Consider the following 24,835-nt stretch of genomic DNA (forward strand, 5'->3'; position numbering starts at 1 on the left):
TTGGTGCATTTGCAGGGGCTGGACACAGAGGAGGGGGCATCTGTGGCCCTAGTGGAGCTGGTGCTAATGCTGCAGGCCTGGCAGGTGGATGTGGCGCCTGTCCTTCGAAGGGCAGTTGGCAGGGGACGCAGTTGACCATGAGTAAAAATGTCGCTGGAGCCTCGGTGCAAGCAGCAGATGAGACCCATCCTGCAGGTGGAGAGGGCAAAGGAGCAAAGAGAGATCAGAACTCCCTGAGGCTGTCAGCCATCAGGGCTCTGGAGCAGTGCTGCTCATGCCCAGTGCACATGTGAGTCCCCTGGGGCCTGGAGAAAGGGCAGCTTCCCGCTTAGGTTGGGGTGGGGCCTGCGGTTCCACACTTCTAACAAGCTCCCAGGTGATGCCCGTGAAAGTGGGGGAGCCGCACTCCAAGAACTACTGTCCAAGAGCAGGGTGTCACACACTTTAATGGACATAAACCACCCGGGGACCCCCTTATTACAAGTTTGCAGGCCTGGGTGGGGGCCTAAGGGTCTTCGTTCCTAACAAGCTCCCCGTCGATGCTGTGGGTCTGTGGTCCTAGGGCTTCTCCAGAAATGGCCTAGTTTAATGAGATCCCGAGTGAGTATTTCTGCTCCCTCATCAGAGCTGTCTGAAGCCGCCTTCTTCTCTGGGAAACGGCCTGTATTTTGCTGCCCTCAGACTCCGGAACAAAACTCAGGTCCGTTATGGATGCTCTGCCATGTGCAAGAGCCATGGGGGAAACGGAGACTCTGGGAGGAGCCCCTAGAGCTGTCATCAGCTCTGACAGTGAGCACAGAAGGCAGCGCCAAGCCCAGCCGCAGGAGTCCCGCCTGCCAGCCCCTCTGTCGGCAACCAGGGGCCGAACAGGAAGGGGCTGGAGCATCCTACCCAAAGCACGCGCAGGCTTGGGAAGGTCGCTGTCCGCCCCGTCTCACTTCCCATTTCTAAAACACAGAGGACCTTTATTCTCCCACCTTGCTCTTCATGGACACCCCCTGCCCCCCGCCACCTTCTTCTTCCTCTCCTCCCTCCCACTCAAGGATGCACTGGGATAATGTCATCATGATCCTGATAATGATGATGACCTGTTGTCAGGTCTCGACTCTGTCTGCAGGAGAGGGGCACTGGGCTAGAGCAGCCCCGTGAATGTCCCGTGCCACCTGGGGTGACAGTAGATTCCCCTAAGTATAGAAACAACACCCCGACTTTCCCCAATGTTTCCAGCTGCTGCTGCCGCCCTGACCTTGCGAATCTGGATGTAGAGGGCAGGCTGGTGGAGGTGCCTGTGGGCCGTACCCACTTGTCTCTCAGCAAGGCTAGTGAAGAAGGTAGCTTCTTCCCCTCCTCTCTCCTCTCCATCCCTCCAAACCTGGAGGGCAGCAGGGAGTGTGACCACTGCCTTCAGCTTGGAGACTCGGTGCTGAGGGCTCTGTTAATCCACCTCGGGGCCTCAGGGTCACAGCTGAAATGTGGCTTAGGAGGTTATTTCATGTCCCACCAGCTTAAGCAAGTGGCTGTCACAGCCCCTCCACCCACGTAGGTGTTATGCGGCATGCCCTCTTCCCCTGTCCCCACCTCATGGGTTGATGATTTTCCTGTGCACTTTCTGGATCTTTCTGATCCATGCTAAGGGGGAGGCCAGAAGGGAGCTGTTAGGCCAGCACAGATTTGTGCTGTAAGCAAAATTCACGTCTCGTACAGTGTACATCTGATGCTGGGGGAGGACAGGAGGAGCTAGGCTCTCAAGAGACACACTTCTGCATGAGATGTGTGTTCCCAGGGTGCTCCCAGGAGAGGTCCAATAAGGGTGGAGGTGTATGGGCCAGACTCATCAATGTGGGTCCACATGCACACACACACGCGCACACCCCCACCCTGAATCGTGCAGAGGGCACAGGATACTGACCCGCCGGATCCCTGAGTAAGCATCAGCATCTCTCTCCTGACAGAAGACGCGAAGAAACCAGCACGGAATGGCTCCAGGCAGCCAGCAGGGGGCGAGCAGAGACAAGACAGGACAAGTTCCCTGCAGGTGCCGGAGAAGGCCAACCGGGTTGGGCCGGGCCCTGGGGCCCAGCTGCATGGTGTCTGGTGCTTTTTTTCGGCAGCTGCCTGGGTGTGGCACTCGGCCACACGTGGGACATTTTTTTTTTAACAGGGAAGTCGTCATGCCTTCAGCTTCTTATGAGGTTTCTGAGTCAGCTCCTGGCTGTCATCAGAGAACACGAAGGAGGGGCCAGGGAAGTTCCAGGAAGTCATTCCAAAGTGATTGCTTGGTTTCCCTTTTCACGACCTGCAGATCCCAACACTCCAGGATGGTGCAGGACATCAGTCTCAAGGTAATTGGTCACAGAGGTGAGAACCTTACTGAAAAATCAGAATGTGAACCCTGGAAGGTTCCTGAAAGATGAGCTAGACGGTTTTGAAACTGTATTGGGAATCCCAAGTGTAGCTCAAGGCTACTGGTCTTCGAGGTACCAGGCTGGGTATGTCGGGGAGGTAGGTGCCTGGTGTCTGCCTGCTGGCGACGATGACTGCGAGCCCTTTCTCAAGACTTCGGCCCACCTGGGTCTTGGGCAATGTAGTGCCCAGCATCGGCCGCGAGAGGGAGCTCTAACCTGAGACTTGGCGGCCGCAGGGCTGGCTCAGTGGACCGCAGGGGAGAAAACAGGGCAAGGGGTTGAGCGCCATCAGGAGCCATTCCACAGTGACCATGGAGGAGCAGAGACTGCATGGTGGGGGTTGTGAGTGGGGAGAAAGCGTCCACTCACCTGAAAGCCCAACGACCTGGTCTCCTCGGCATCAGACTTACACAGCAGTTCCATCCACCTTGACCTTAGGGCTCAGGGCATCTGCAGCCCTACTGCCGGCCCTCGGCCTCACTGCCCTCATCTGGCAGCTTCTATGTGCTCTCGGGGCTGGAGAGGTCAGGAAGAAATAGACAGAGTGGGCCAGGCTTGGTCGGAGTCCATACAGAGCAGGCCCCCTCTGCACGGGGAGTCACAGATTTCTGGAAACCTCAGCTGAGCCTGGTGCAGTGGCACAGAGCAGCCCTGCCCCAGTTCCCAGTGGTGACTCCTCTGGGGTTCAGCACATGGGACAGAAGACCTGCCCTGGGGAGGTGCAAAAGAGCGGCAATGCTAACGCCACCTGGGCTCCCTGGCCCTGCAGGTGAGTGAGGATGAAGGGGAGCAGGCTGGTCTGGCCAGGGAGAAACTGGGGCTTTTTTTTTTTTTTTTTTTTTTTTGAGAGACAGTGTGCCCTTGCAGAGAGAATACAAATGATGGTGTCACATGTTGAGCACCTGCTATCTGCTCAGCAGTGAGCCAGACACTTCCATGGGTGTTGCTAATTCCCATCACCAGCTACCAGATGAGGTCCGGTCAGCCCCATTTCACAAATCAGTGACTGAGGCTCAGAGATGAAATAAATGGCCCTAGGTCACACAACTTGCAGGTGGCAGAACCAAGGTGAGTGTCCCTCCAAAGGCTAGAGACCCTCCTCCCAGCATGTTAGGCTGTAGCTGGACCCTCCAGGCCCACAGACCATGTGGGTAGCTGGCACCATCATCTGAAAGGACCCTATGCTGGGAGTCTCTCCAAGCCAGCCAAGGCCACCATCCCTTGCTTCTCTTTCCCACAGACCTCTGAGTCGGGGTAGGGAGTTTGCGAAAGCGAAGGGCCAATATCAGGAGATCGGGGCGCCATTTCAGGGGGTGAGACCCTGGGCAAGTTGCCTCTCTGGGTCTCAACTTTCTGATCTGTAAAGTGAGAACGCTACTCGTTGTCTGGCCTGGGTCTCAGGTTGTTGTATGGACCCAGTGAGAGGAAGTATCGGAAATCCTCTGAAGTCTGCGGACAGCTGGATAAAGGCTTACGGAGGCTTTCATTTGTGCCATGTGCTGTAAGTGGGTCACAGGCATCACCTTATTCTTATTTAGACCTTAGGAGGTTGAAGAAATTATTCACATTTTGCAGATGAAGGGTTGAGGGATAGGGAAGTTAAGTAGCTCGAGGTCACACAGGAGCAAAGCCAGGACTGGACTCAGGTCTTCTGAGGCCTAAGCACTACTCTTCCTCTTCCCTAGACGGTGCTCATAGCACTGGACGGGGAAGGGCTGGGTAGGACAGCAGGACTGCTGGGCCCCTTCTAGAAGGACAGCCTACACTTGCGGGGGCTCTCACCTCTGAGGATTCCTTCCTGGCTCCCCTCCCTTGGACCCTTGACTACAGCAGCCTGAGAGAGTGACCTTGACTTCCTGGGTGGCAGCAGGGGGACTGGGTGGAAGGGAGAAATGGGAGCCAAGGGCATTGCTTATCCTCAGGGAGAGAGCTGGATGTACACAGGGGAATGTGTGTGCACAAGCACACGCACACGCACGCGCACGCACACACACGCACACGCGCACTTATATACAGTTGTTCTGGATTCCAAAATCCACTGATGCTCAAGTCCCTGATATAAAATGGTGCAGTATTTGCATGTGACGTCTGCACATCCTCCCACATTCTTTAAATCATCTCTAGATTACTTGTAATTCCTAATACAATCCACATGCTATGTAAATCGTTGTCACGCTGTATTGTTTAGGGGGTAATGACAAGGATGTTCAGTGCAGACATAACCATCCTTTTTGTTAGTACTTTTATTCCATGGTTGGTTGAATCCAAGGATACAGAACCTGTGGATATGGAGGGCTGATGGTACACACACACACACACACCCACACACACACACACACACACCCACAGACACAGACACACACACACAGACACAGACGCAGACACACACAGGAATGAATGCAGATATGTACACACTCACACATGCACAAGCACCCTAAACACACACAGTGCATACCACCCCACCCACATAGACCCGGGAACATGGGGACCCCCACGGACCCACACACACCACGGCAGGCTTGCACACTGACCCCCACATGCACACACTCAAGGTGCATGCCCGTACCTGAGCCCACATCCACACTCCTCCCAGGCCCCTGTTCCTGACAAGTTAATGTTGTCCCTCAGGCATCTTCCTTCATGTTCTCTGGGGGAGAGACTGACTGTGGGAATCAGCCTTGGTTGCAAAGGGAAGCTGAGAGAAGAGAGCAGCGCAGGGCACGGACATGCCAGCCCAGTTACTGGAGATATCTGCCGCTGGAGACGGGTTCAGAGCCTAGTTTAATATCCCGAGTGAGTATTTCCTCCTAATCTCCCAACTGCAACATACCTTCCTCCTAATCTCCCAACTGCAACTCACCTCCAGGCAGGCCACCCTGATGCCCATCGCCCCCATGAGTAGCAGGTAGCTTGGTGAGGCAGCCTCCCTGCAAGGGAAGGGCAGGTGTCATGGCTTTGGCTCAGAAGCAGGCACAGGTGGGGAGGAAGGGCTGGCCGTCCCGGTGCATATGGCAGAGGCAGAGGGTGGACCAGAGGACTCATGGGCTGGACCTGGCCTTGAGTGGCTCACAGGTTTCGTGGGTGGCCCCAGGAGCATGCCATGGTGCCCTGGACTCTCTCAGCAGGAGCTGCTTGTCCCAGGGCTTTGTAGAGCGTCTGAGGGGCCTGGCACTGTGGGCTCATGGCCAAGAATCATGTGTGCTCTGCTATTCCCACACCCATCTGCCTGACCCCAGCCCTTTGGGGGCTCCTGGAGGCCAGGCTGGGGCCCTTTCCTTGTCCCCAGCTTGCGCTGGGGCACTTACCACCCCCTTGCAGATGTTGGAGGGGTGGGCCGGCTGGCTGCAGAGCGCCACCACTGCCTTGCAGCCGCTGTCGGGCACTGGTGGCTCTCACCTCCCACGACAGCAGGTACGTGCTGCGCTGCCAGTCGCTGAGCTATTGCATCCGTAGCACTTGAACTGCAGGGGGAGGCAGAGGCTGGAGGTGAGAAGCCTGTGTGGGGTTCCAGGGCCGACGACACAGGATTCAAATACCCAACCCCTCTTTGCTCTCCCTGCGATTTCTGCCTTCCCTGTTTGAGCAGAGAGCTGGTCTCTGGGGGCCAGCACTGCCCGCAGGACACCTATCTGCTACCTGCAGTCACCCAGGTCCTTTAAGGAGATTATGCTGGGTGTCCTGGGGGCAGGGTAGGTCTGTGAGGTGGGCAAGATGGAGGGGGGGGTCCCCAGAGAGGGGGGCTGTGTACTGCTGCCTGACAGAACGCAGGCTGGTGACAAGCCACAAGGGGCAAGGAGGCCCTGGTCATCCAGGAGGCAGGACACGGGGACAGGGACCAGCCTTGCCAGGGGTTCCCAGGTGAAACCTCAGAGCCCCAGACATGCAGGGACACAAAGGGTGTCCCAGAGTCCACGGTGTGGGCAGGTCAGTGTTGGCCAGAGGGGCCGGTGTGAATGCTGAGTGAGGCCCGGGGTCGTCGGCACCACTCCAGGGCAGGAAAGTGCCAGCCAGGGTGGAAAGCAATTCAAAGGCAGCGGACTCAGGCCACTTCCTGCCCTTCTGAGTCAGGGCCCTGAGACTCCAAGTCCCTACACGGGCCACAGAACACAGCGGCTGGGAGGCTGTCTCTGGTGTGGGAATGGGGCTGGGTGGGCGGAGCGGTATTAGTTCATTAGTTCAGCTACCAGCGTTTTGCTAGGTTTGCCATGTGCCTGGAGTGAACAAACATGAGTCAGGCACCAGTCCTGCCCTGAAGTAGTGTAGCATTTACTGTAGTTTAGTAGAAGACAATGGAAGCTTGTGTGTGAACCCCAGAGAAGGAAGGGGTGAATCCTCTGTCCAGGGCTAGGAAACGTCCACAGGGATGGACGGGGGTGCTGGGCGTCCTGGCCGAACATAACTGCAGCAGACAGGGCAGGGACTGGCGCAGCGAGGGCAGGGAGTCACGCGGCCTCACACATCCCTGTGTCTCTGTCTGTGTGTGCTGGCGCCGCACGACTGCTGGGCCACTTGCTTGTAAAATGGGGCCAACAAAAGGACCTGCGCCCTGGGCCATCGTGCGGACTGAAAGAGGTGATTCATGGAAAGCAATTAGAAGAGAGCCTGGCGCAGCACCCGCAGTTAATGAGAGACACTTTTGTGATCATCGTCGTGTGAATGCAGGTGCGCGTGCCCGTGTCATTTACATCCATGGGGTGCTGCTGGGAGGCCTGACGCTAGCCCTGGCTCTGCAGCCACTGCTTTCTGGGGGTCGGTCTCCTGCCTGAGATGCAGGTTGGGGTTCTAACTGTTCCCGGCCTGTGTGAGGGCCTGCGTTCGCGTGCACTGGTGCCCTGCAGGTCTTGGTCGGTGACACCGCCTCTGCTCTTAGCGGTACCTTTCCTCGTGCCACTCCCACCCCTCCACCTAAGCAAACCCTGCCCCTGCCCCACGGAGCCCTCCCCCCCTCCCCTGCTCCCTATTCTGGGGGTGCCCCAGCCTCACACTGTCTGCACGTTGCCTGCTGTGTGTCTGGCTTTCTGAGCGAGCCCGCGGGTGGGATTCTGTCCTATTCTTGTCTCGCCCAGGTCCTCACAGGCGCGGCCCAGTGACTGCACACTTAGTCTTGCACAGGGCTGACCAGTGGTGTGTGCTGCCCCATCCCAGTCCAGGGCTAAGTCTGTGGGGTACACGTGTGCCTGTGGGTGTGCACCTGTGTATACACGTGTGCCCTAGGCCACTATTTCAGAAAAGAGACCCCTCTGCCAACTGGGAGCTGAGCCTGAGTCTTGGGGAGATGGGGTGAGGGCTTCCGCACTGAGCCATGATGCCCCTGGATCTTGGAGCTCATGACGTCTATGTCTTCCACTTGCCTGACGTTCCCTGGGCCAAGACCAAGGCCCCAGGCCCAGGGGGTGAGGGTGGGGAGTGGGGTGGCAGAGAGAGGGGGACCAGAGCAGGTGGGTAGAGCAGACTTGGATTTTCTGACACAAACCCATCAGGATCTGGAACAGTGGCGTCCAGGAGAACTTTCTGCGATGGAGGCAGCGTCCTGCATCTGTGCTGCCCAGCTCCGCGTTCACTCACCATCTGGGGCTCCTGAGTGCCTGAAATGTGGTTGGTGCGAGCAAGGAACTGGATTTTGTTTAATTTAACTGTAAATAGCCACATGTGGGCGGTGGCTGCCGTATTGGACAGCACAGCTCTGAGGTCCACTGCCCGCCCCCTATGTCTGGCAGGATGGTGGGCCTCGCTGGAGGGATCTGCCGCATCTTTTCTTGGAAAGGAGACCACCTTTCTGTCCCTCAGCATCCTGCCTGCTGGCTCACAACTGGGGAGTTCTGTTGGTGGCTTAGCTGAAATACCCCCGTCGGGTAGCGCTCCCTTTTATGGGGCTTCAGCTCCCCGCTCCCCAGGGAAGAAGGAAGGCAGCCTTACAGACAGGAGAAACCCGGAGAGAGGCTTCCTGGCCCAGATCCTGGCAGGAGATGGAGTTCTCCTGGTACTGCCAGCTTCCTGCCCACCAGGACCCAGAACGGGAAGACAGCAGGGGTGGGTTTGGAGGAGGGAGTCAAGGAGAGGGAGGGAGAGGAACCAGGCTTCAGCAGGCACTTCTCACGGTGGTAGGGACTTTACAGGTGTGACCGAATTTAATGCTCACATACCCTAAAGAGGCTTCATTTTAGGGATGTGGCAACCGAGGCTCAGAGAGGGTAAGTAACTTGCCAGGGCCACACAGACAGGAAAGAAGAGAGTCAGGATTTGAACCTGTGTCTGCTTGGCCTTCAAGGCCATAGGGCATGGTGTACCTCCTGCTGCAGCCGGTCTACTGAGGCGGGGATCTGTGTGGCTCTAGCCTGCCCGCAGTTCTTGGTCAGAGTCTGGCTCAAGTGCTGCTTCTGTTCATCACTCAGCTGAGGAGTGATAAGATGGCATCAGCGGGACCACCCCACCCTTGCCTACCACCCAGGCCTGCTGCCAGGCCTCCCCAGCTAACTCTAGAGCACTGTGGCCTGTGGATGGTGCGATGACTATCAGTGGGAAACAGGGCAGAAGATGGCCATAAAGAGGAGGTTACAGAAGCTGGGCCCTGATTCAGGGCGCAGGTGCACTGGGCAGAGCTGAGGGAGGCTGGGAGGCTCAGGTAAAGGGTGGCAGCCAGAGGTGGTGGGAGGCGGAGGTGAGGCTAGACACCAGAAACTGAAATGTCTATTGATCTTAATTTTGATTAAGAGGTGATATTCAAAATACTTACAATTGTTACCCTGTGAGCACCACTCCAGCATGGCTTAAACAGCCAGCAGGGTTGTGTTGTCTCTACCAGCTGAACGTTACCCTGGTCATGGCCTCAAACTCTCGATTCAGAGGGCAGCAGGGTGGGAGCAGATGGGACTGGTCACTGCGTCTCTGTTCAATCCAGGCAGGCAAGACCCGATCCTGTCTTCAGGGTCTTCCATGTGATCCTGGCCCAGGCCTTTCTTCTTGGATGCCTCTGACAGATGGATTCATTCTCTAGACCATCCTTGAAAGGGGAGAGGGATGACCTAAGCTCCCACGGGAAGCCCCCCTCCCCAACTCCCATGCAGAAGACATCAGCATCAGTGGAGTCAGGGAATTGCTGAAGCCAGGGCCAGCAGCTGGGATCCAGATGTGTGGAAGATTGCCAGGGTGGAAAGCGGGACCACCCCTGTGCCTGCCGCAGCTTCCCCCATCACCATGCACCCCCCTTATCCCCGCGCATGGCTTCATCGGGACACAGACAGAGAATGGAGGAGGAGGAAGCATCCACTCACCCTCTGGTAACACACATGGGCCGGGACTCCCGCCACCAGCTCAACCAGATAATAAGTGACAGGCAGAAATACTAGGAGCAAGGAGAGAAGAGGGTCACCACCAGGGATCAGGACACGCCTATGACCGATGTTTCCCCAACGTGGTGGGGGTGGTAGAGATAGCTGCTAGGGACCCCCATCACCTGTGCCATCTACCTTCTCTCGCCAGCAGCTCTGGACATCCCAGCCTTGCTGGCTGCTGGCAGCGAGTTTCCTACTCATCCCTTTGCTCATTGGACTGGCAGCAATTCAGTAATCCACCTACCCATCCAATATGTATAAATACCTGCTGTATGCCAGGTGCCAAGTAGCGTAAGACAACTATTGTCCTCAAAGTTATTAATGGTGGGGAGGACAGGTGAGTGATTACAATCAATGTAATTGCTATCAGTGTAACTGTGGGTTAAGCCCTAGAAATGATGGGAGGCTCCTGGCGGGGAGGGCAGTCAGAGAAGGCTTCCTGGAGGCGGTGACACCTGAGGGGCATCTCTAAGGACAAGCAGGCATTAGCCAAGCGAAGAAGGAGGGAAGTGCATTCCAGGCAGACGGGAGCGCACGTACAAAGCCTGGAGCCTGAGGAAAGCATGGGGCACTTGTGTTCAGGGAGCAGAGTGCGCCCACATGGCTGGAGTGCAGGGCTGGGCAGCAGCAACCAAGGCTCAGGAAAAAGCAAAGGCAGAAATCAGAAAGGTGATTCGTGTGTCCTCTTCCAGCCCCGATGCCCATTCCCTGTCCTGCGTGGCCCCGCAGGGGTTCTCAGTTCCTCTCACCGCTGCCTGGCCACCTCTAGGCTTGGGGTTGCCCTTCTTGCTTTATGGCCCCGCTGCAGCCACTGCCTGACTTCCTGGCCATGCACACACGCAGGGAAGGTGTGACCCTCCTCATTCCCAGCTGGCTTTCCACCTCAGGGAGGCTCGTGCTCCACCCTGACCCTGGCGTGTTCTTGCAGCAGCCAACAGGTCTGAAACGCATGTCAGTCCCACTTGGGCTGGAGGGGGCAGGGAGAGGGGGATGAAGCCAGATAAGTTCAGGCAACCGAGGAGCACTGGGCAGGAACAAGGGAAGAGAAGGGAGGAGAGAAGACGGGGGAGGACTGTTGATGGAAATTGGCCGTGCCCTGGGGGAGTTCAGCCGCACTCATGAGCACCTCCCCCCGAGCTGCCCCTGGGCACTGCCCACCCCTCTGGCCACAGCAGGGTAGCTGCCCATAGTCACTGGGATGGCTGGGTTCTAGGGAAGGCCCAGGCTATGGGTGACACCTGACGCTCTAGGGCTCACCCAGCAGGGAAAGGAGGGTGGGCTGGAGGGAGACAGTTGGGGGTGGGGGGCTCCTTAGGATGGACTGGGGCTGTGGCCAGTTTCAGAGGCAAGGCCAGTGCAGGGGCCCATGGGGCTTATCCAATCACCTCCTGCACCATTCGGCAAGGAGCCTGGTATGAGCAGGGCTTAAGGAACACAAGGAGAGGGGACATTTCTTCATACAGGGAAAGAGCCTCAGCCCAAGAATAAGGCTTTTAAATGAAGCGAGTTACTCGCCCCCTGCTCCAAGTTTACTGCGCCGTATTTGTTGTCTCCCAGCGTTGGAGCTGGCCAACAGTGGGGATAGCGGGGGAATTTTCCGTCTCGGAATAACGGTGTCAGGCCTGCCCCCATCACTTGAGGGCCTGAGGCAAAGCCTATGAAACAGGTCCCTACCTCACTCCTTTTCTACCCCAGGCTCTATGCTGCACCAGGAAAGGCCTCCTGTCCGCCCTCCCCCAGGGGGAGATGCCCCTTAGCCGAGCCCGTGGAGAGGGCTGGGTGTGGTGCTGTGTGGGTACAGGTGAGAGGGGCACGTCCCAGGGGTCCCGTCAGCTCCAGGACACCTGTGCAGATGCTGCATGCATAGGCTGAATGGACAGAGGATTCCAAGCTCCTGGGTTCCTGGGAGGAGGTCTAGAAGTGGGGAAAGGGAGCCGCAGGTTCCACAAAGGGACATCTCTCAGCCCCACAGACTTTCCGCTCCATGGGGAGAGGTGTGGAGGAAGGAGGGCTGAGTGCGGCCCAGGCAAAGGCCCCGCTTGCCTGGGTCTGTGGGTGGTATTGAGTGGTATCCCCAGGAAGCTGAGGCAGGAGGCTGACGAGGGTTTGTGGATGGTTCCTCTGCTGGGGGAGCCCCTGAAAAGTAGGGCCTGAATGCCAAGGGAGGCTGGCAGAGATGCCCATGAACTGGCCTTGGGTCTAGTCTCCACCATCTGCTGACTCCAGTCGGGTGGCTGCTAGTGCCTTGGTGTAAATTAGAAAAATGTGCTCCAATGAGAAAAAATGTGGCTCAGAAAGAGTCGAGTGGCCCGCATTTCAGCCTTCTCTGGTCCCCTTGCATAGGACGCAACGTTTAGGGCCATCCACGGTGGCCCTGACTGTGGGCTGTGCCTCCCTGTCCTCATCAGCAGATGGGGAAGATGTCTACTGCCGGTTCTGCCCACCCCAAGTGGATGGGGGCACCCAACAGGGAAGTGGTGGGAGGGACAGGCTTCAGTGGTCTGCCCTGCCTCCTGACTTCCCTGAAGTTGAGGTCCCATAGCATGAGGTGTGTGGTCCTTGTCAGCCAGTGGCAGGTGCGGTTGGTGCAGCCCAGCACTCACCCTCCTGGGAGCCGCCTGGCCCATCAGACAGAGTGTGGCTGCTTCCACCCGCACCCAGGGGCTCTCCCAGACCCCCGCACTGCTGGGCCCCACAGCTCCTCTCTGACATGGGTGCCTTTCCCGCTGGCTCCAAATTGCCCTCCCCTCCCACTGTGGTGCACAGGCCGACTCCCTGCTGCCGCCCAGAACCTAGAGGGAGTGAGGTGCTGCAGCGTCTGTAACTGAACGGGAGACCCAGGCCGCTGGCAGCAGGGAGGGCTGCATCCTGGCATCTCACCACCTTCCTTCTATTACCACCATGGGCTGGGAGTCAGGCCCAGAAGATAGTCCTGAAGAGGTGGCAGCGTCACGCTGCTCCCCTGGGAGTCCCTGCCCTGGTTGCTATTCAAGACAGGGTGGGGAACAGGGAGGATGGGAAGGGAGAGACACAACCTCACCGCTTAAGTTTAATGGCAGGCTGTTAGCACCCGCCAGTGCTGCAAAGTCCGGTCAGAGGCATCACACAGGCTACCGACCTGCTGGAGGGGTGAGGAGGAGGGGGGGGCGAGTGCTGGGCAGGGGTGAGGGGTGTGGGGACAGCCTCCCGAGTAAGGGGCTCCAGCATGTAAGGACACCTGGGAGGGGAGCGAGGGGCTGGCCTGGGACTTCAAGGGACTGAGGCTGGGTGGCCCCAGCTGCTGGCTCCAGGCAGCAGCTTCCGCAGCGGGAGGGCTGCAGGTGTGTGACTCACCTGGGTGGGGGAGGCCCTGAGTCACGGCTCCTGGTGTGACAGCCCCAGGAAGCAGGCCAAGAGCCCTGCTCATCTGGATCCCGCACTGAGGCTGGCTAGAACTCCCGGGCAGTGGGCCGGGCTGTTGGGCCTTTAGCTGTGTGACAGCACAGATGCCAACAAATCCACCTTTGCCCCGCTACCCTGCATTTACCCAGCGTTTCCCGGCTCCCTCCGTGCATCGGAATCATCTCAGGGCTCCCGCGGCACATGTTGGCTGTCTGCAAAGCGGAGAAACATCCCTCGTGTTGCTTTATGAAGCTCCTTTCATGCAGGCCAGGCATCTAGCCTTCAGGCCTTTGCTCTCTCCGTCCCCAACTGCCTGGAAAGCCGGTGCCTCCTTGTCCTTCAATACCCAGCTCAGCTCAGTCATGGCTCCACTAAGCCATGCCAGGTAGCAGCGATGGCTACTCCCTGCCCTCCAATGCCTGCAGCGTGTCATCTGCTGTCTCCTGACACCAGCACTTTCTGCTTTGCCCCTTCTCTCCTCAGCTAGGCGGGGCTCCGCCTCCGTGTCCCTCCGCATGCCTGCTGCATGATTCCTGGGTGTAGGTCTCCACTGGATGAACGGCACAACTTCCCCCACTGCCCTGTATCAGTTGCTTTTGTTTCAGGTGTTACCACTGTCCCCCCAGAATGACTGTGAGCTTCTGGGCATGGGGACCAGCACACTCCTCCACGGTGCCTGGTGCATGCTCAGTGTAGAGGCATGCTTGGTGAACATCCCCTGATTAAGGTGTGGGCGTGCGCTGTCTTACAAAGCACACCTGGGAGGCAGCAGGAACCCGTGGGAGCGTGCCAGCCCCACACTGAGGGCAGTAGTTTCATCTTTTTCTGGTACTTCCGAGAGTACCATAGAACAATTACCTTAGTTAAATTTATACCAGTGCTTCTCAACCTGGCTGGATTTGGCCCTCAGGGGACATTTGGCAATGTCTGGAGACTTTTGCTGTTGTCATTAGCTGGGGAAGGAGTATTACCAGTGGGTAGAGACCAGGGATGCTGCTGAGCGCCCTACAGCGCATGGGGCAGTCCCCTGCGGCAAAGAATCATCAGGCCCCAAATGTCGGTAGCGCCGAGGTTGAGAAACCCTGGGCCACACATTGACAGCTGACGCTGGGACTTGATTTGTTTATGTGCCCCTATACACTACGGGAGGCACAAATGGAAGATCCGAGGAGCCAGGAACGGAACACGGACAGAAGCATGCACGGCCTTGTGCGCTGTGCCTGCCTGGGAGGGCAGCTCTGTGGCAGGAGGCTGCTCACCTGGACACAGGAAGGATCAGGGAAGCCCGTACTGCTCCAGCTCACATCCTCACGGGACCTGGAGGCTGGAGAGGGAATTCCAGGAGTCCAGGTACATCCTGTCTGGTCCCAAGATCTCTGAAGGGTTCCCTGGGGACAGTCTGTTTCCTGAAGCAGCTGTGGAGTCCTCCAGCTTCCTTCGTGAGCTAGGGAGGGGGGTGCTGCCGTGATTCTGTAAGAGCTTGACTCCAGGAAGCACGAAGAAGGCTCCAGAGACAGCTTTTGCCTTGATTAAGTTTGATTTGATGTGTTTTTGAATTATTAAACAAAAGTCAGTAAGAAATTCTCAGGTGCCCTGTAATCTGGAGGAGTTCTATTTCCACACGGTTAGTATCACTGGACCCCATGCTGTCCTGCTTCTCCCAGCTCACCAGACCAAGGAGGGTCCATGCTGCACCAGCAGAGCCCCGCATTCTCTTCAGCGTCCCCACCCCCCCCCCCAGAATTGCTGGCCAGTGGCTTAGGAGGCAACACCCCAACTCAGGGTGTGCTGGTCTTGCTTCTCAAGCCTAGTAGGAGAAGAGCAGAGGGGCACGCAGTGTTTTCAGGGCGGGAGCAGCAGAAAGCATCCCTTTTCTTTCTCCAAAAGAAAAAAAAAGCACCCTTCCTTGGCAGAGTCAGCACCTTGCTCATGTGAGCAGCCCAGGAGCACCAAGCAGAGCCCGGCACACGGTGGTGCTCCATGACAGTGACAGCCAACATGTATGAGTGCTCCCAGGTGCCGGCCCCCTTGCAAACACTTTGCGTGTCTCTCCCATCCACCCTCAGAGATGAGTACTAGCATTACTCATCACATTGCCACGTGGGCACGAGCATCAGCCTCGTTTTCTAGATGAGCACACGTGCGTGGAGAAGCTAAGTAGCTTGCCTGAGGTCACACAGCAAATACGTGGCTGGGTGAGGCATGGAACCCAGGAATTCTGGCTGCAGAGCCTGTGCTCGGACCTGCTACGTGCTACTTTCCCCACTGAACAACGGATGCGCGGATGGATGGATGAGCACTGGGCTCATTTAGCGGGGATTCAGCACGTTAGGGCTGGTGTGGTTCAGGTGGACACAGGGGTGTTAGGTGCTCCCCCAAGGGACAGGGTGTCAGGAGGGGTGAGGGGTGAGAGGGTGAAGATGGAGAAAAAAAAGGGAAGCCCAGGGAAGCTTTCCCCAGGCACACGAGCATCCCTCACTGCCCTGCGCTCAGCCTCTTGCCAACTGTCCAGGGCACCAGCCTTCTGTGGTCCCCTTGCATAGGACACAACCTTTAGGGCCATCCATGGTGGCCCTGTGGGCTGAGCTTCTGTATCCTCGCCAGCAGATGGGGTAAGTCAGTGATGCTCCAGGCAGTACCCCCTTGGGCAGGCTGCCCTGCTCCTTGCCAGCAGTGGTGGAGCATCTCCTGCCTGCTCCTCCACCCCCGTGGCTTGTCCTGGGTTCAGGGCCACGGGCTGTAATGTGGGTCTCTGCCCCCTCCACCCTTCCCATTACTCAGCCCAGCCTACTCTGATCTCAGAAGCTAGTCACTGTCTCTACAGCCTGTGAAGCATTCCCTGTGTGTACACAGATCCTCACACAGCAAAGCTTCCAGCCTCCCTGCCTTTGCTCTCTGGCTGTTCCTCCTGCCTGGAATTCCCTGCCCTGGCCCCATCTGTGTTCCGTTTATTGGCTGCTCAGCCACCAATATTCAGCTCAGGCATGGCCTCCATAAAGCCTTGGGCCAGAAGCTTCTGACCCGTGAGCTCACTGCTGGCATCGTTGTTTCCGAGCCTCCTTCTGGCTCCAGGCCTCTCTGCTTGTCTTGCTCCCTGGGCTGTGTACACTTGGATCCCTGCTTGCCCTCCTGGCTCTCACCTGTGCCTTGTTGTGCCTTCGTGGACCCTGTGCACCAGGGTGTGAACTGAACCTACCCAATGAACTCCAGTCTGACCCCCAGCTCCACTCTGGTTTTTGTGACCGGTCTGCCCCCTGCAGACTCAGGGCTGCACCATCCTTCTAGAAGCAACCATCTAATGGCCTGGTCTGATGGAAACGGGTAATGAGAATCCCAAAGAAAGCTCCTCTAGCATCTGCCTTCCATAAGAACGACTCAATTTCAGGCTCAAAACATAGAGGGAACCAGTGTTTTAGGCACAGAATGGGACCCAAACGTTAATTCCCACCCCTTCCTCATACCATAGTGGGGTTTTTTCCATTAACTCTTTAACAGGGCAGCTTAAACTAGAAGCAGAGTTGGATACTTTCTAAAACTATAGATCCAAAGTGAAGCTGGAACAGCATAGCATTTTCTGAATCAAACCAATACTTTCTTTAATGAGACGCTTTGCAGGAAATATGCAGAAATATTTCTCATTGTGACATTGAGACGAGTAACTAGAAATGGAATCTTTGGAGGGACTTATACCACATGGGGGCAAACTGAGCCCCAGATAAGAGTTTCTGGGGCAGATGCACTGGTGCATAAGAGACAGGGCAACTGAGCTTCAGCTGGTGCCATCCTTGAGGTAAGTTTGAAGAACTTTGTAAAACTGGAATTTCAGAATTTCTCCATTGGACTGATTCTGCCACAAAGAGGGAGCTTCGTGGAAGCATTCATTTTCCTCTTTTGTCTCTCCAACCATCCTGTATGATTAGAGAGACACAGGGTTTGCAAAATTTCCTGCAAGTGATAGCCTGATGGTGGAGGCTCGGTGTCCAGGCAGGTCACGACAAGGTGGAGGGACTAGCCTATTCCCAGAACAGCCTCGCATCAGCACAACACAAGGATCAAGACGTCGCCAAGTTAAGCTGGAGGGAGAAGAGCCCAGCCTGAGGCTCCCAGCCGGCTGTGTTTGAGAGGATCACAGAAGCAGGTGGAGGGAGGGCCAGGGAGCCCAGAACGACCGGCCAAACAGGAAAAGACGAAGCCAGCTGTTTAAACGGCAATGACCTCAGGGCGAATTATTTTCTGGCAATTAACCATGGACTGGAGGCAGCTCAGAGGTGCAGCTGCCTGGCCTGTTTGTGCAAACCAGAGGATGTGAATTTGGAAGCCTCAAGCCATTCCTGTAACAAGATGTCATTGTCGGAAGGCTGAAGGTGACCTCTACCCCTCCTGGCCCCAGCCCAGGGCTCACACCCTGGGCTATCCAGCCGCAGCTATGGTGGAGGTTGGGACTCAGCCATTCCACTGGGAGCAGCTCTACAGTGAGGACAAGAGGATGAGCTCTGGCCAGTTTCTGATACTAACATACATTCCTGACCCGGGGGGCTGGGAGCAGAGAAGAGGACCAGGGCTGGGGTAAGGAGAGCTGTAGATGCGATGGAGTGAGGGTTAAGTTGGAAGAGGCAGGGAGGGAGCAAACTGGATGCTGGGGAAGCAGGAGGTATTCTACAAGCACATCAAGGAAATGCAGCTGAGCAGTTGCACTTGCTCACACCTGTAAGCCCAGCAACTTGGAGCTGAGGCAGGAGAACTGCTTGAGTCCAGGAGTTTGAGACCAGCCTGGACAATATAGCAAGACCTGTTTCTCAAAAAATAAAATAGGAAAAAAAGAGAAAATGTGGCTGAGGCCATCCAAAGCGCCAGCCCAAATGTTGGGGTCTAAGAGGAACGTGTGTGTGTGTGTGTGTGTGTGTGTGTGTGTGTGGTGGGGGGTGGGCCTGGAAGGAGAACAGAATTCCAGAACTACACGCCCAAGACAGGCGTCCACTGAGCTTCAAGCTGGGACTATTAAGAACTTAGTTGGAATGGGCTGAGTCAGGGCAGCACCCAGAGAGGGCAGCAGGGCCTGGCCAGCAGGCTGGGGGGATGGGGGCCAGGTGCCCCATGGGGAGACACAGAGCAGGGGACTCAGAGGATGCTCAGTGGATTCAGGTATAGGGAGGTGACCAATTGCCACTTCTTCCCAGCCCCCCCTGGAAAGCACTAGACATTCCCGTGGCTGTCTTCTTACAGGCTTTGGACAGAGATGGTGCAGCCTGCAGATACCTGTGCACACAGGTGGACAGAAGGGACTGTGCAGGTGGTGAAGGTGGGATAAGAGCAGTGGCAAGGGCCCCAGGGCAGGACTAGTGGTGTGTCCCTCGCAGTGATAATTCATCCTAGGACAAAAGTGGCTATGGGGGGTAGGGAAGGCTACCAAGAACAAGAGTGAGGAGATACCAAGAACAGGGCAGCCTAAAGGTTAGGAAAAGTCCTGAGGCCCAGAGAGGTCAGAGCCTCTGACCAAATCCAAACACAAATTCAAACCACCTGCACGGTCCTTTACCTTTTAATGCAGGCACCTGGTGTTCCTCGCTAGACTCCAAGCCTAGAACTGGGCCACAGTCCCGTTCTTCCTCTCCCCTTCTCACCCTGTGTTTTGCCCAGCAGAGCAGGAAAGCTGAGAATGTGCTGGAAATGCTTGTTGAGGCCGACGTGTCAGGCAGCCCATCAGTGCAGGATGGAGCCTCGGTTGCAGAGAACTGCAGGGAGGTGGTGTGGAAGCTCATTGGCTGTAAGAACTGCTCCGCTGCGACAGTGCTGCTGGAGGTGGTGGTGAACAGGTACACCCACTGCAGCCTGGAGAGGTGGATGTTGACGCAAAGTCTATGAGTCTCTTGTGCAGCCAGCTCAAGGCTGGCTCTTCAGGATGTTTGTGTCCTGCTTCCCAAAGAGCCTTCAGGCTTCAGAGGTCATCTTCTCCATTCCCCTGGCTCTACCACACAAGCCACCCTGGATGAGGAGAGGTTCATGCCAGAGAGGGGTCGGGATTCTCCAAGCCCTGGCTGCAGGAGAATTTTTGGAGCATGGGGGCTGTCATCTGACCAAAGATGAAAATACCACCTAACAGACGAGGCAAGGCCCACCGTGGGGCTGGGTGGCTGGTGGAGCAACAGAAAGGAACATGTGGGTGAGAAATGAGGGGAGGATGCAGTCCAGTTCCCGGGTCCAGGGACCCAGGTTCCCCCGAACTTCCCACCAGTCCCAGCTTCTTTAGAGGATGTGGCCCAGCCAAGGCTGTGGGGGTCTGGGGGCAGTGGGCCCAAGAATAACTCTTACTTATGTAGGTCTCTTCTCAAAGGAGCTTGGCCATGGTGACGGTGATGAGAATGTTCACCAGAGCCACATTTTTACAATCTTTATATAATGTGGTGACTCGTTTCCTAAGACCTGAAAATACTTCCTCCTTATCCTCACACCTCGTCCCAGATAAAATGGCAATGCCAAAGTGGCAAAGCAGAAAGCAGTGACTTACCTGAGGCCCCAGAGCAAGCTGGGCAAGCTCCATGAAAACCAGCTTTTCAGCCTGAGCCCAGATATTATCTTTGATCCTGGACCCCATTGCCCTGGCTGACCAAGCCTCGGCATATTTGATGGAAGTGTTGCAATTCTGGCTCCCCTCATTTTCAGAAATTAGTTTCTAGGACTTCTTACTTTTTAATCCATCCCCTGATAAAGACCCAGTTAAGTCTGAACCATCCATCATGATGTTCATTTGGCTTAAGATATAAAAGTTTTCAGAGCCCACATTCAAAACTCTAAAAATATCTTCCTCTTTTGATCTAGGTGGCATCTGTCCTGGTCATCGGCCTCGGGTCCAGATGGCCTGAATTATCTGTCTCTCTCATGCAGTCTTTGCTAAAAGAGAAGGTCTGGTGTAAATAATTTAAACCCCATTCCCTTCCCCTCTCTGCAGATTTCTGATGCCAAGCTGATCATCGTCTCAGCACCAGCAAAGACATGCTATTCCCGTCCCTGACGAGCATTTCCTTCTTGAGAAAGTGATTTTGAGGGGCTGCAGATGTACTTGGAGGAAGGTTTGGGCCGGGACAGATGACGTGCCCATGTGGGAGCTGGACGGCCCCTCTCTGGGTAGCTCCCTGGGAACTCCCATGTCCGCCTCCCGCTGCCTCCTGATCCAAGGTGGATGCACTTCATTTGAGGCCTGGTCTTTCGTCCTTCCCTCTCCTCTTCGGGGACCACTTTGTCTAGTGCTAGACTCATTGTGCTTCCCCCTTGGGGCTTCCTTCAGCCCTCAGCCGATTCAAGACTTCAAAAGGAAGTTGGACATGGAGAGGAAAAAAGAAATGAAACCAGGAAGGAACCGCCAAGAAGCACACAACGCGTTTATGCTGCCTTAACCACACGCTTGACTCTAAATGGGTTTAAAAATTCTTACTTGTGTTAGCCCAAGAAAGTTTCTGCAGCCGTCTTTTTGGTTTAAACAATCAAATACTCAATAATTCTGGGGCTGGTGGGCCAGGATATGGGTTACTCAGATCTTCTGCTTCACCCCATGCTCGGTCCCTGAGCCAGTTCTGTCATTGGTTCTTTCAGACCAGGGCAGGAAAAGTCAAGAAAGCAAAAGCGGATTCTAGGCTGTGGGGTTTGCTGTTTGCTAGCCCCCTGGCAGAGATGCCTGTCCTTGCAGTCCTGAACTGGTGGCCAAGTGTGCATGCATGCACGTGCAGGTGTGTGCATGTGCAGGTGTGCATGCGTGTATGTGCGCACACACATTCATGCTTGTACATGTTTGTGTACACGCACACTTTTTTCTGCTTTCAATTTCAAGCTGTTGCCTCCCTGATGTGTCTGTTTAGTGACTTGAGCCAGAAAGATTCCCGGTTCTATGTGGGATGAGAATGAACGCAGGCAGGTCTCCACAGAAGTGAGTAAAGTAGAGCTGAGAAGAAGGACATTGTCTCATGCCAGCCTGTCCAATAGCCACTTTGCCCCAGCCCTGCCTCAAGCCCCAGAGAGATGACAAGGCTCTCTCTGTTTGTCGACTCCTTGAAGCTCAGAAAGGTGGGTCAAGAGGTGCCCGTCAAGCGTTTAGGCAAGCACAGGACCCTGATCTTTACTAAGTCTCCACATCTCTCTTGCACAGCCCTGGGCTCAGGGCTTGGTCCCCTCTGGGCAGGCCATCCAGACTAAGTGACAGTCAGATTGTGTGTGGGGAGGCTAGAGACATCCATTCTTCATGGATCAGCCTGAATGGCTGGACAGATCTTGCAAATGGATTGTGTAAGACAGAGTGTGGAAGAGGAGGCTGTGATCAGTGGCTTGGAGAGCAGAGTGTGGTCAGGCGCTAAACCTAAGGCTTTTCTGGGAAGAGCTGTTAAGATTAGACTGTTCTCCCAAAAAGCCAATAATTCTGAGTGTCTCCATTAATGCCTAGGTAGCCCATACTCTCACCCAGCCGGTGCCCTTCAGCCTGGAACCTTTGGATGGAGGATTGGACCTTGTGACCTTCAAGTTCCCTTCCGAACCAAATATGCTCTAACCCAGGTATGCTGTTATTTTCTTATATAATGGGAGCAAGGAGGCACTGGGATGCCCAAGGCGTCTAGGGTCTCACCATGACACCCCTGGTCTCCTGCCCTAGTGGTCTGGCTGGGTCCTGCACAGAGCCCTCTCTTGTAATCAGCCAGATCTCCAAGAGCCACGGCTCCACACAGACCTACCCATAGATGGACGGCAGGGTGTGCCCTGCACACATTCATCCCTGCCCCGCTCAGCTTCCTGCCCCTCTGCCTTCGTTCAGCCTTGGTCCCCAGGAGAAGCAGACTCTTGGAGGCAATTCCAACAGGCTGCAATTCCCAGTCCAGCTCCGGCCCTTACTTCCTGCACGTCTCAGCCTGGCCTCCTCATCTGTAAAGCAGGGGTGAATACTACCTCTTTGGATGCAGTGGAGTGTGGTGGGTCATGGTGGATCAGAGCATGGGCTTGGAGCTAGACCACATGCCACTCGCCAGCAATGTGTGTCGCACATTTGAAAACTTCACATTTTCCTGCTGCCTCCACATCCCCAGACACAGGTGGTGTGCACCTGCCTGGGTGACCCAGTGCACTATTGTCACGGGGCCGGCCGTGCCACAAGTTCCCCTGACTGTGACCTAGTAACGTTCAAATGCACTGGTGGAATTCCCTCGTGTCTGTTTTTGGTGTGCTTCACTCTGATCCCCAATAAAAAAGCCTCACCCGCTCTCTGCCCCCCACCTGCTTGGTGGAGCCTGGGCCCTGGGTGCTCCTCCCATGCGACCCCTCCCAGCGGAGTGTGCAGTGACTCTGTGGGGCCTGTGAGTCTGGGAACACCTGTTGCCCTGCGCCTCTCCTGTGCCTCCTCTTGCGGCTGCCCCCGATTGACCATTACCTAAAATAATCACACACACAGTGTGGTTCTGGACAAATCACTTCCCTGCCCCTGCCCTCTGTTTCCTCCCCTGTCAATGCACATAGTAAGAATAAGCTGCTCTTTGGGGCACAGAGAGGACAGAGTTGATGTGTGAGTGTTGAGAATGGTGCTTGGCAGAGAGTTCAGATTATTGGGACTTTGCAGGTTGCTATAGTAAGGACAGAGGTAGGTGGCTCTCGGTGAACAGTGGCCATTTGTGTTCTAATCAGGCCCCAGGAGGAATGCAGGGGGCTGTTTCCCTGTGCTGCAGGGACTACTGGCCTTTAAGGGCTCCTCAGAACCAAGGGTCTGGGTCAGAAGAAAGGTTCCAGGTGAGGGCTTCTGCCTTCCCTCTTGTGCTGTCCAGAGGTGAGTCCTGTCCTCCCTCAACAAGATGACCTGGTGGAAGGAAGGAGGCAGCGGAGACCACGCGGCTTGGCTGCCTGCCTGTGGGCAGACCTGCAGGTGTGAGGGGCGGAAGCTTGGCCTGAAGCCTGAGGCCAAGCTGAAGGCCAAGCCTGCTGGGGGGCACAGAGCCAGACAGGACACAGTGGGCTCGCCAACACTGCAGAGGAAAGGGGTTCTCTCTCTGGGCCCAACAGCACTGGTCCCGCAAGCCTCAGGCCCCCTAAGGGCTGGTCGGTGCTGCACAGAGAGAGTGTCTCCACCCCAGGCCATGGTACGTGCCCGGTTCACTGTCCCACCACGTGCCTCCATCCAGCTACGTTGGTCAGGTCTAGGATGTGCCACTCGGCTCTCGGGGACCTCAGCTGAGCGACCGCATTGCCCAGGATGCTGGAAATCCTCACGATAGGCCCCAGGCCGGAGGGCTGGGTGGGGGTATGGCTGGCCCCCTGGCACACCAGTCCCCAGTGCTGGAAAAGAGCTCAAAGCCCATGCCCTGGGGCCTTCACCCTGCAGGCCTATCACATCCACTCTCCCAGCGCCCTGGCTGTAGGCTCTCCCTCTCTTCCAAACGGGAGGGCCGTCCTGCAGGCCCGTACACAGGCGCTTCATATCCACAGCTGGAAACTAGGTCGCTGCTGGTGAGAGGCAGCAGGGGACGGTCCACAGGCTTTCGCAGCACCCTTCCTCTGCCACTGGTTCCCTGGGTCACTGTGCAAAAGCAGAGGCTGCAAAGTCTGTGGTGGAACCCGGGAAGCCGGAGAAGGAACACGGGGGCCTTTGAGGCTTCTTCCCGCTGCCCGATTCCTTTCAGGCTCGGCCTGATTTCTCTTTGAGACTTGGGCTGGTTCTGCCCCTCACACTTCCTTGCTGGTCTGGACATTTTTCAGCCTCATCTGTCCTCTTCTTCTCTTCCCACACACTAGGCTTTGACCCTTGGGAGGGGCTGTGGGGTGAAGAGAGGCCCCAGGCAGCAGGGAGCTTGCCTCTGCCAAGAGGGCATGGAAGTTAGGGAGTTGGGGTCTGCCTGAGTCCTGAGCTGGGCTCCAGGCCTCTGGTCCTGCACATTCCACCCCAGCCTCCCCTCCTGACACTCTGGGCAGCTGCGGATCTTCCCAGCTTCCCAGGAAGAAGGCTGTCAAGGAGGCTCTGGTGCCTGTAACACCAGCCATGCACCAGGCGATCTCCAAACATTCAGATCAGTGGGATCTGATCAGGCCTCTAGATCTAACCACCAGGTGGGCATGTTAGACAACATCATGGGGGTGTCATCAGAAAATCCAGACTGGGAGAAACGTGACAGGACAAATGACGTGGTTCTTCAGCACATACATTGCAAGAGGAGAAAAAAGGAGAGAGAGAGATTGATGGTGGAACTTAGAGGCTACAGGAGACTTAGGAGACCAATTAACTGATTTTAACACATGGATGTAATTTAGATTCCGACCCCAAAAACTTTTTTAAAAAGAACAGTTTATGGGTCAGTTGGGGAGAGCTGAAACTGCCTGGTTATTTCGTGATATTAAGGAATCAACTGTTAATAGTTTTTAGGTATGATAATGGTAATGTTACTATGTTTTCTAAAAGAGGATCCTTAAGTTTTAGAGGTACATACTGAAATATTTGTTTTTTAAATGTTTTAAAAAGTTTATTGCTCTTTCAGAAATATGCTGACATATTGACAGATGATTTGATATCTGGGATTGCTTCAAAACCATCCTGGGGTGGGGAGAGGGAGGGATGGAGGGGAGGGTGCAGGCCAGCGAATGGAGATGGACTATGAAGTGGTAACTGTTGAGCCCTGGGTGATGGGAAGATGGAGGTTCATTAAAGCACTTTTTAAAATTTTTGCATATCTTTGAAAATTGCCATGATAAAATCTGGAAGGA

General features: G+C 55.9%; 2 long non-coding RNA genes across 4 annotated transcripts in view, besides 4 other annotated features; one reads left to right on the top strand and one right to left on the bottom strand.

Annotated features, from left to right (window-relative positions):
• Positions 1 to 442: 442 nt before the first annotated feature.
• LOC100128253 (uncharacterized) overlaps positions 443 to 24,835 on the bottom strand; it is a 67,609-nt gene continuing 43,216 nt past the window's right edge. The window contains exons 2-12 of the long non-coding RNA NR_148995.1: positions 9,677 to 9,747; positions 9,139 to 9,405; positions 8,693 to 8,797; positions 7,879 to 7,990; positions 5,711 to 5,866; positions 5,266 to 5,332; positions 2,775 to 2,921; positions 2,511 to 2,643; positions 1,910 to 2,370; positions 1,247 to 1,465; positions 443 to 580 (exon numbers count right to left, since the gene is read on the bottom strand). This is a non-coding gene — a long non-coding RNA (uncharacterized LOC100128253). The remainder of the gene's footprint in view (positions 581 to 1,246; positions 1,466 to 1,909; positions 2,371 to 2,510; positions 2,644 to 2,774; positions 2,922 to 5,265; positions 5,333 to 5,710; positions 5,867 to 7,878; positions 7,991 to 8,692; positions 8,798 to 9,138; positions 9,406 to 9,676; positions 9,748 to 24,835) is intronic.
• Positions 1,872 to 2,091: an enhancer, noted in NCBI's record as "active region_5817". NCBI's record gives its function as "activates an Ori minimal core promoter by ATAC-STARR-seq in GM12878 lymphoblastoid cells {active_cell/tissue: GM12878}" and the evidence as "EXISTENCE:reporter gene assay evidence [ECO:0000049][PMID:35858748]".
• Positions 2,292 to 24,835, top strand: part of LINC02827 (long intergenic non-protein coding RNA 2827) — a 38,300-nt gene continuing 15,756 nt past the window's right edge. Inside the window, exons 1-5 of one of the 3 annotated variants that reach the window (NR_187482.1) lie at positions 2,292 to 2,342; positions 5,034 to 5,198; positions 18,758 to 18,930; positions 20,064 to 21,172; positions 21,546 to 21,655. This is a non-coding gene — a long non-coding RNA (long intergenic non-protein coding RNA 2827). Of the gene's footprint in view, positions 2,343 to 5,033; positions 5,199 to 18,757; positions 18,931 to 20,063; positions 24,800 to 24,835 lie in introns of those variants that run through there. The other 2 variants (NR_187483.1, NR_187484.1) reach the window with 2 other exon arrangements.
• Positions 2,692 to 2,986: a silencer, noted in NCBI's record as "tiled region #1542; K562 Repressive non-DNase unmatched - State 13:Ctcf". NCBI's record gives its function as "represses a minimal TATA promoter and a strong SV40 promoter by Sharpr-MPRA in K562 cells {active_cell/tissue: K562}" and the evidence as "EXISTENCE:reporter gene assay evidence [ECO:0000049][PMID:27701403]".
• Positions 14,520 to 15,719: an enhancer, noted in NCBI's record as "BRD4-independent group 4 enhancer chr12:3421757-3422956 (GRCh37/hg19 assembly coordinates)". NCBI's record gives its function as "activates an origin of replication core promoter dependent on BRD2, P300/CBP, MED14 and CDK7 cofactors, and independent of BRD4, by STARR-seq in HCT116 cells {active_cell/tissue: HCT116}" and the evidence as "EXISTENCE:reporter gene assay evidence [ECO:0000049][PMID:35650434]".
• Positions 15,748 to 15,797: a silencer, noted in NCBI's record as "silent region_4140". NCBI's record gives its function as "represses an Ori minimal core promoter by ATAC-STARR-seq in GM12878 lymphoblastoid cells {active_cell/tissue: GM12878}" and the evidence as "EXISTENCE:reporter gene assay evidence [ECO:0000049][PMID:35858748]".

The sequence above is a fragment of the Homo sapiens genome, chromosome 12 (assembly GCF_000001405.40).
Source record: "Homo sapiens chromosome 12, GRCh38.p14 Primary Assembly".
In the NCBI taxonomy this organism is placed as follows: domain Eukaryota; kingdom Metazoa; phylum Chordata; class Mammalia; order Primates; family Hominidae; genus Homo; species Homo sapiens.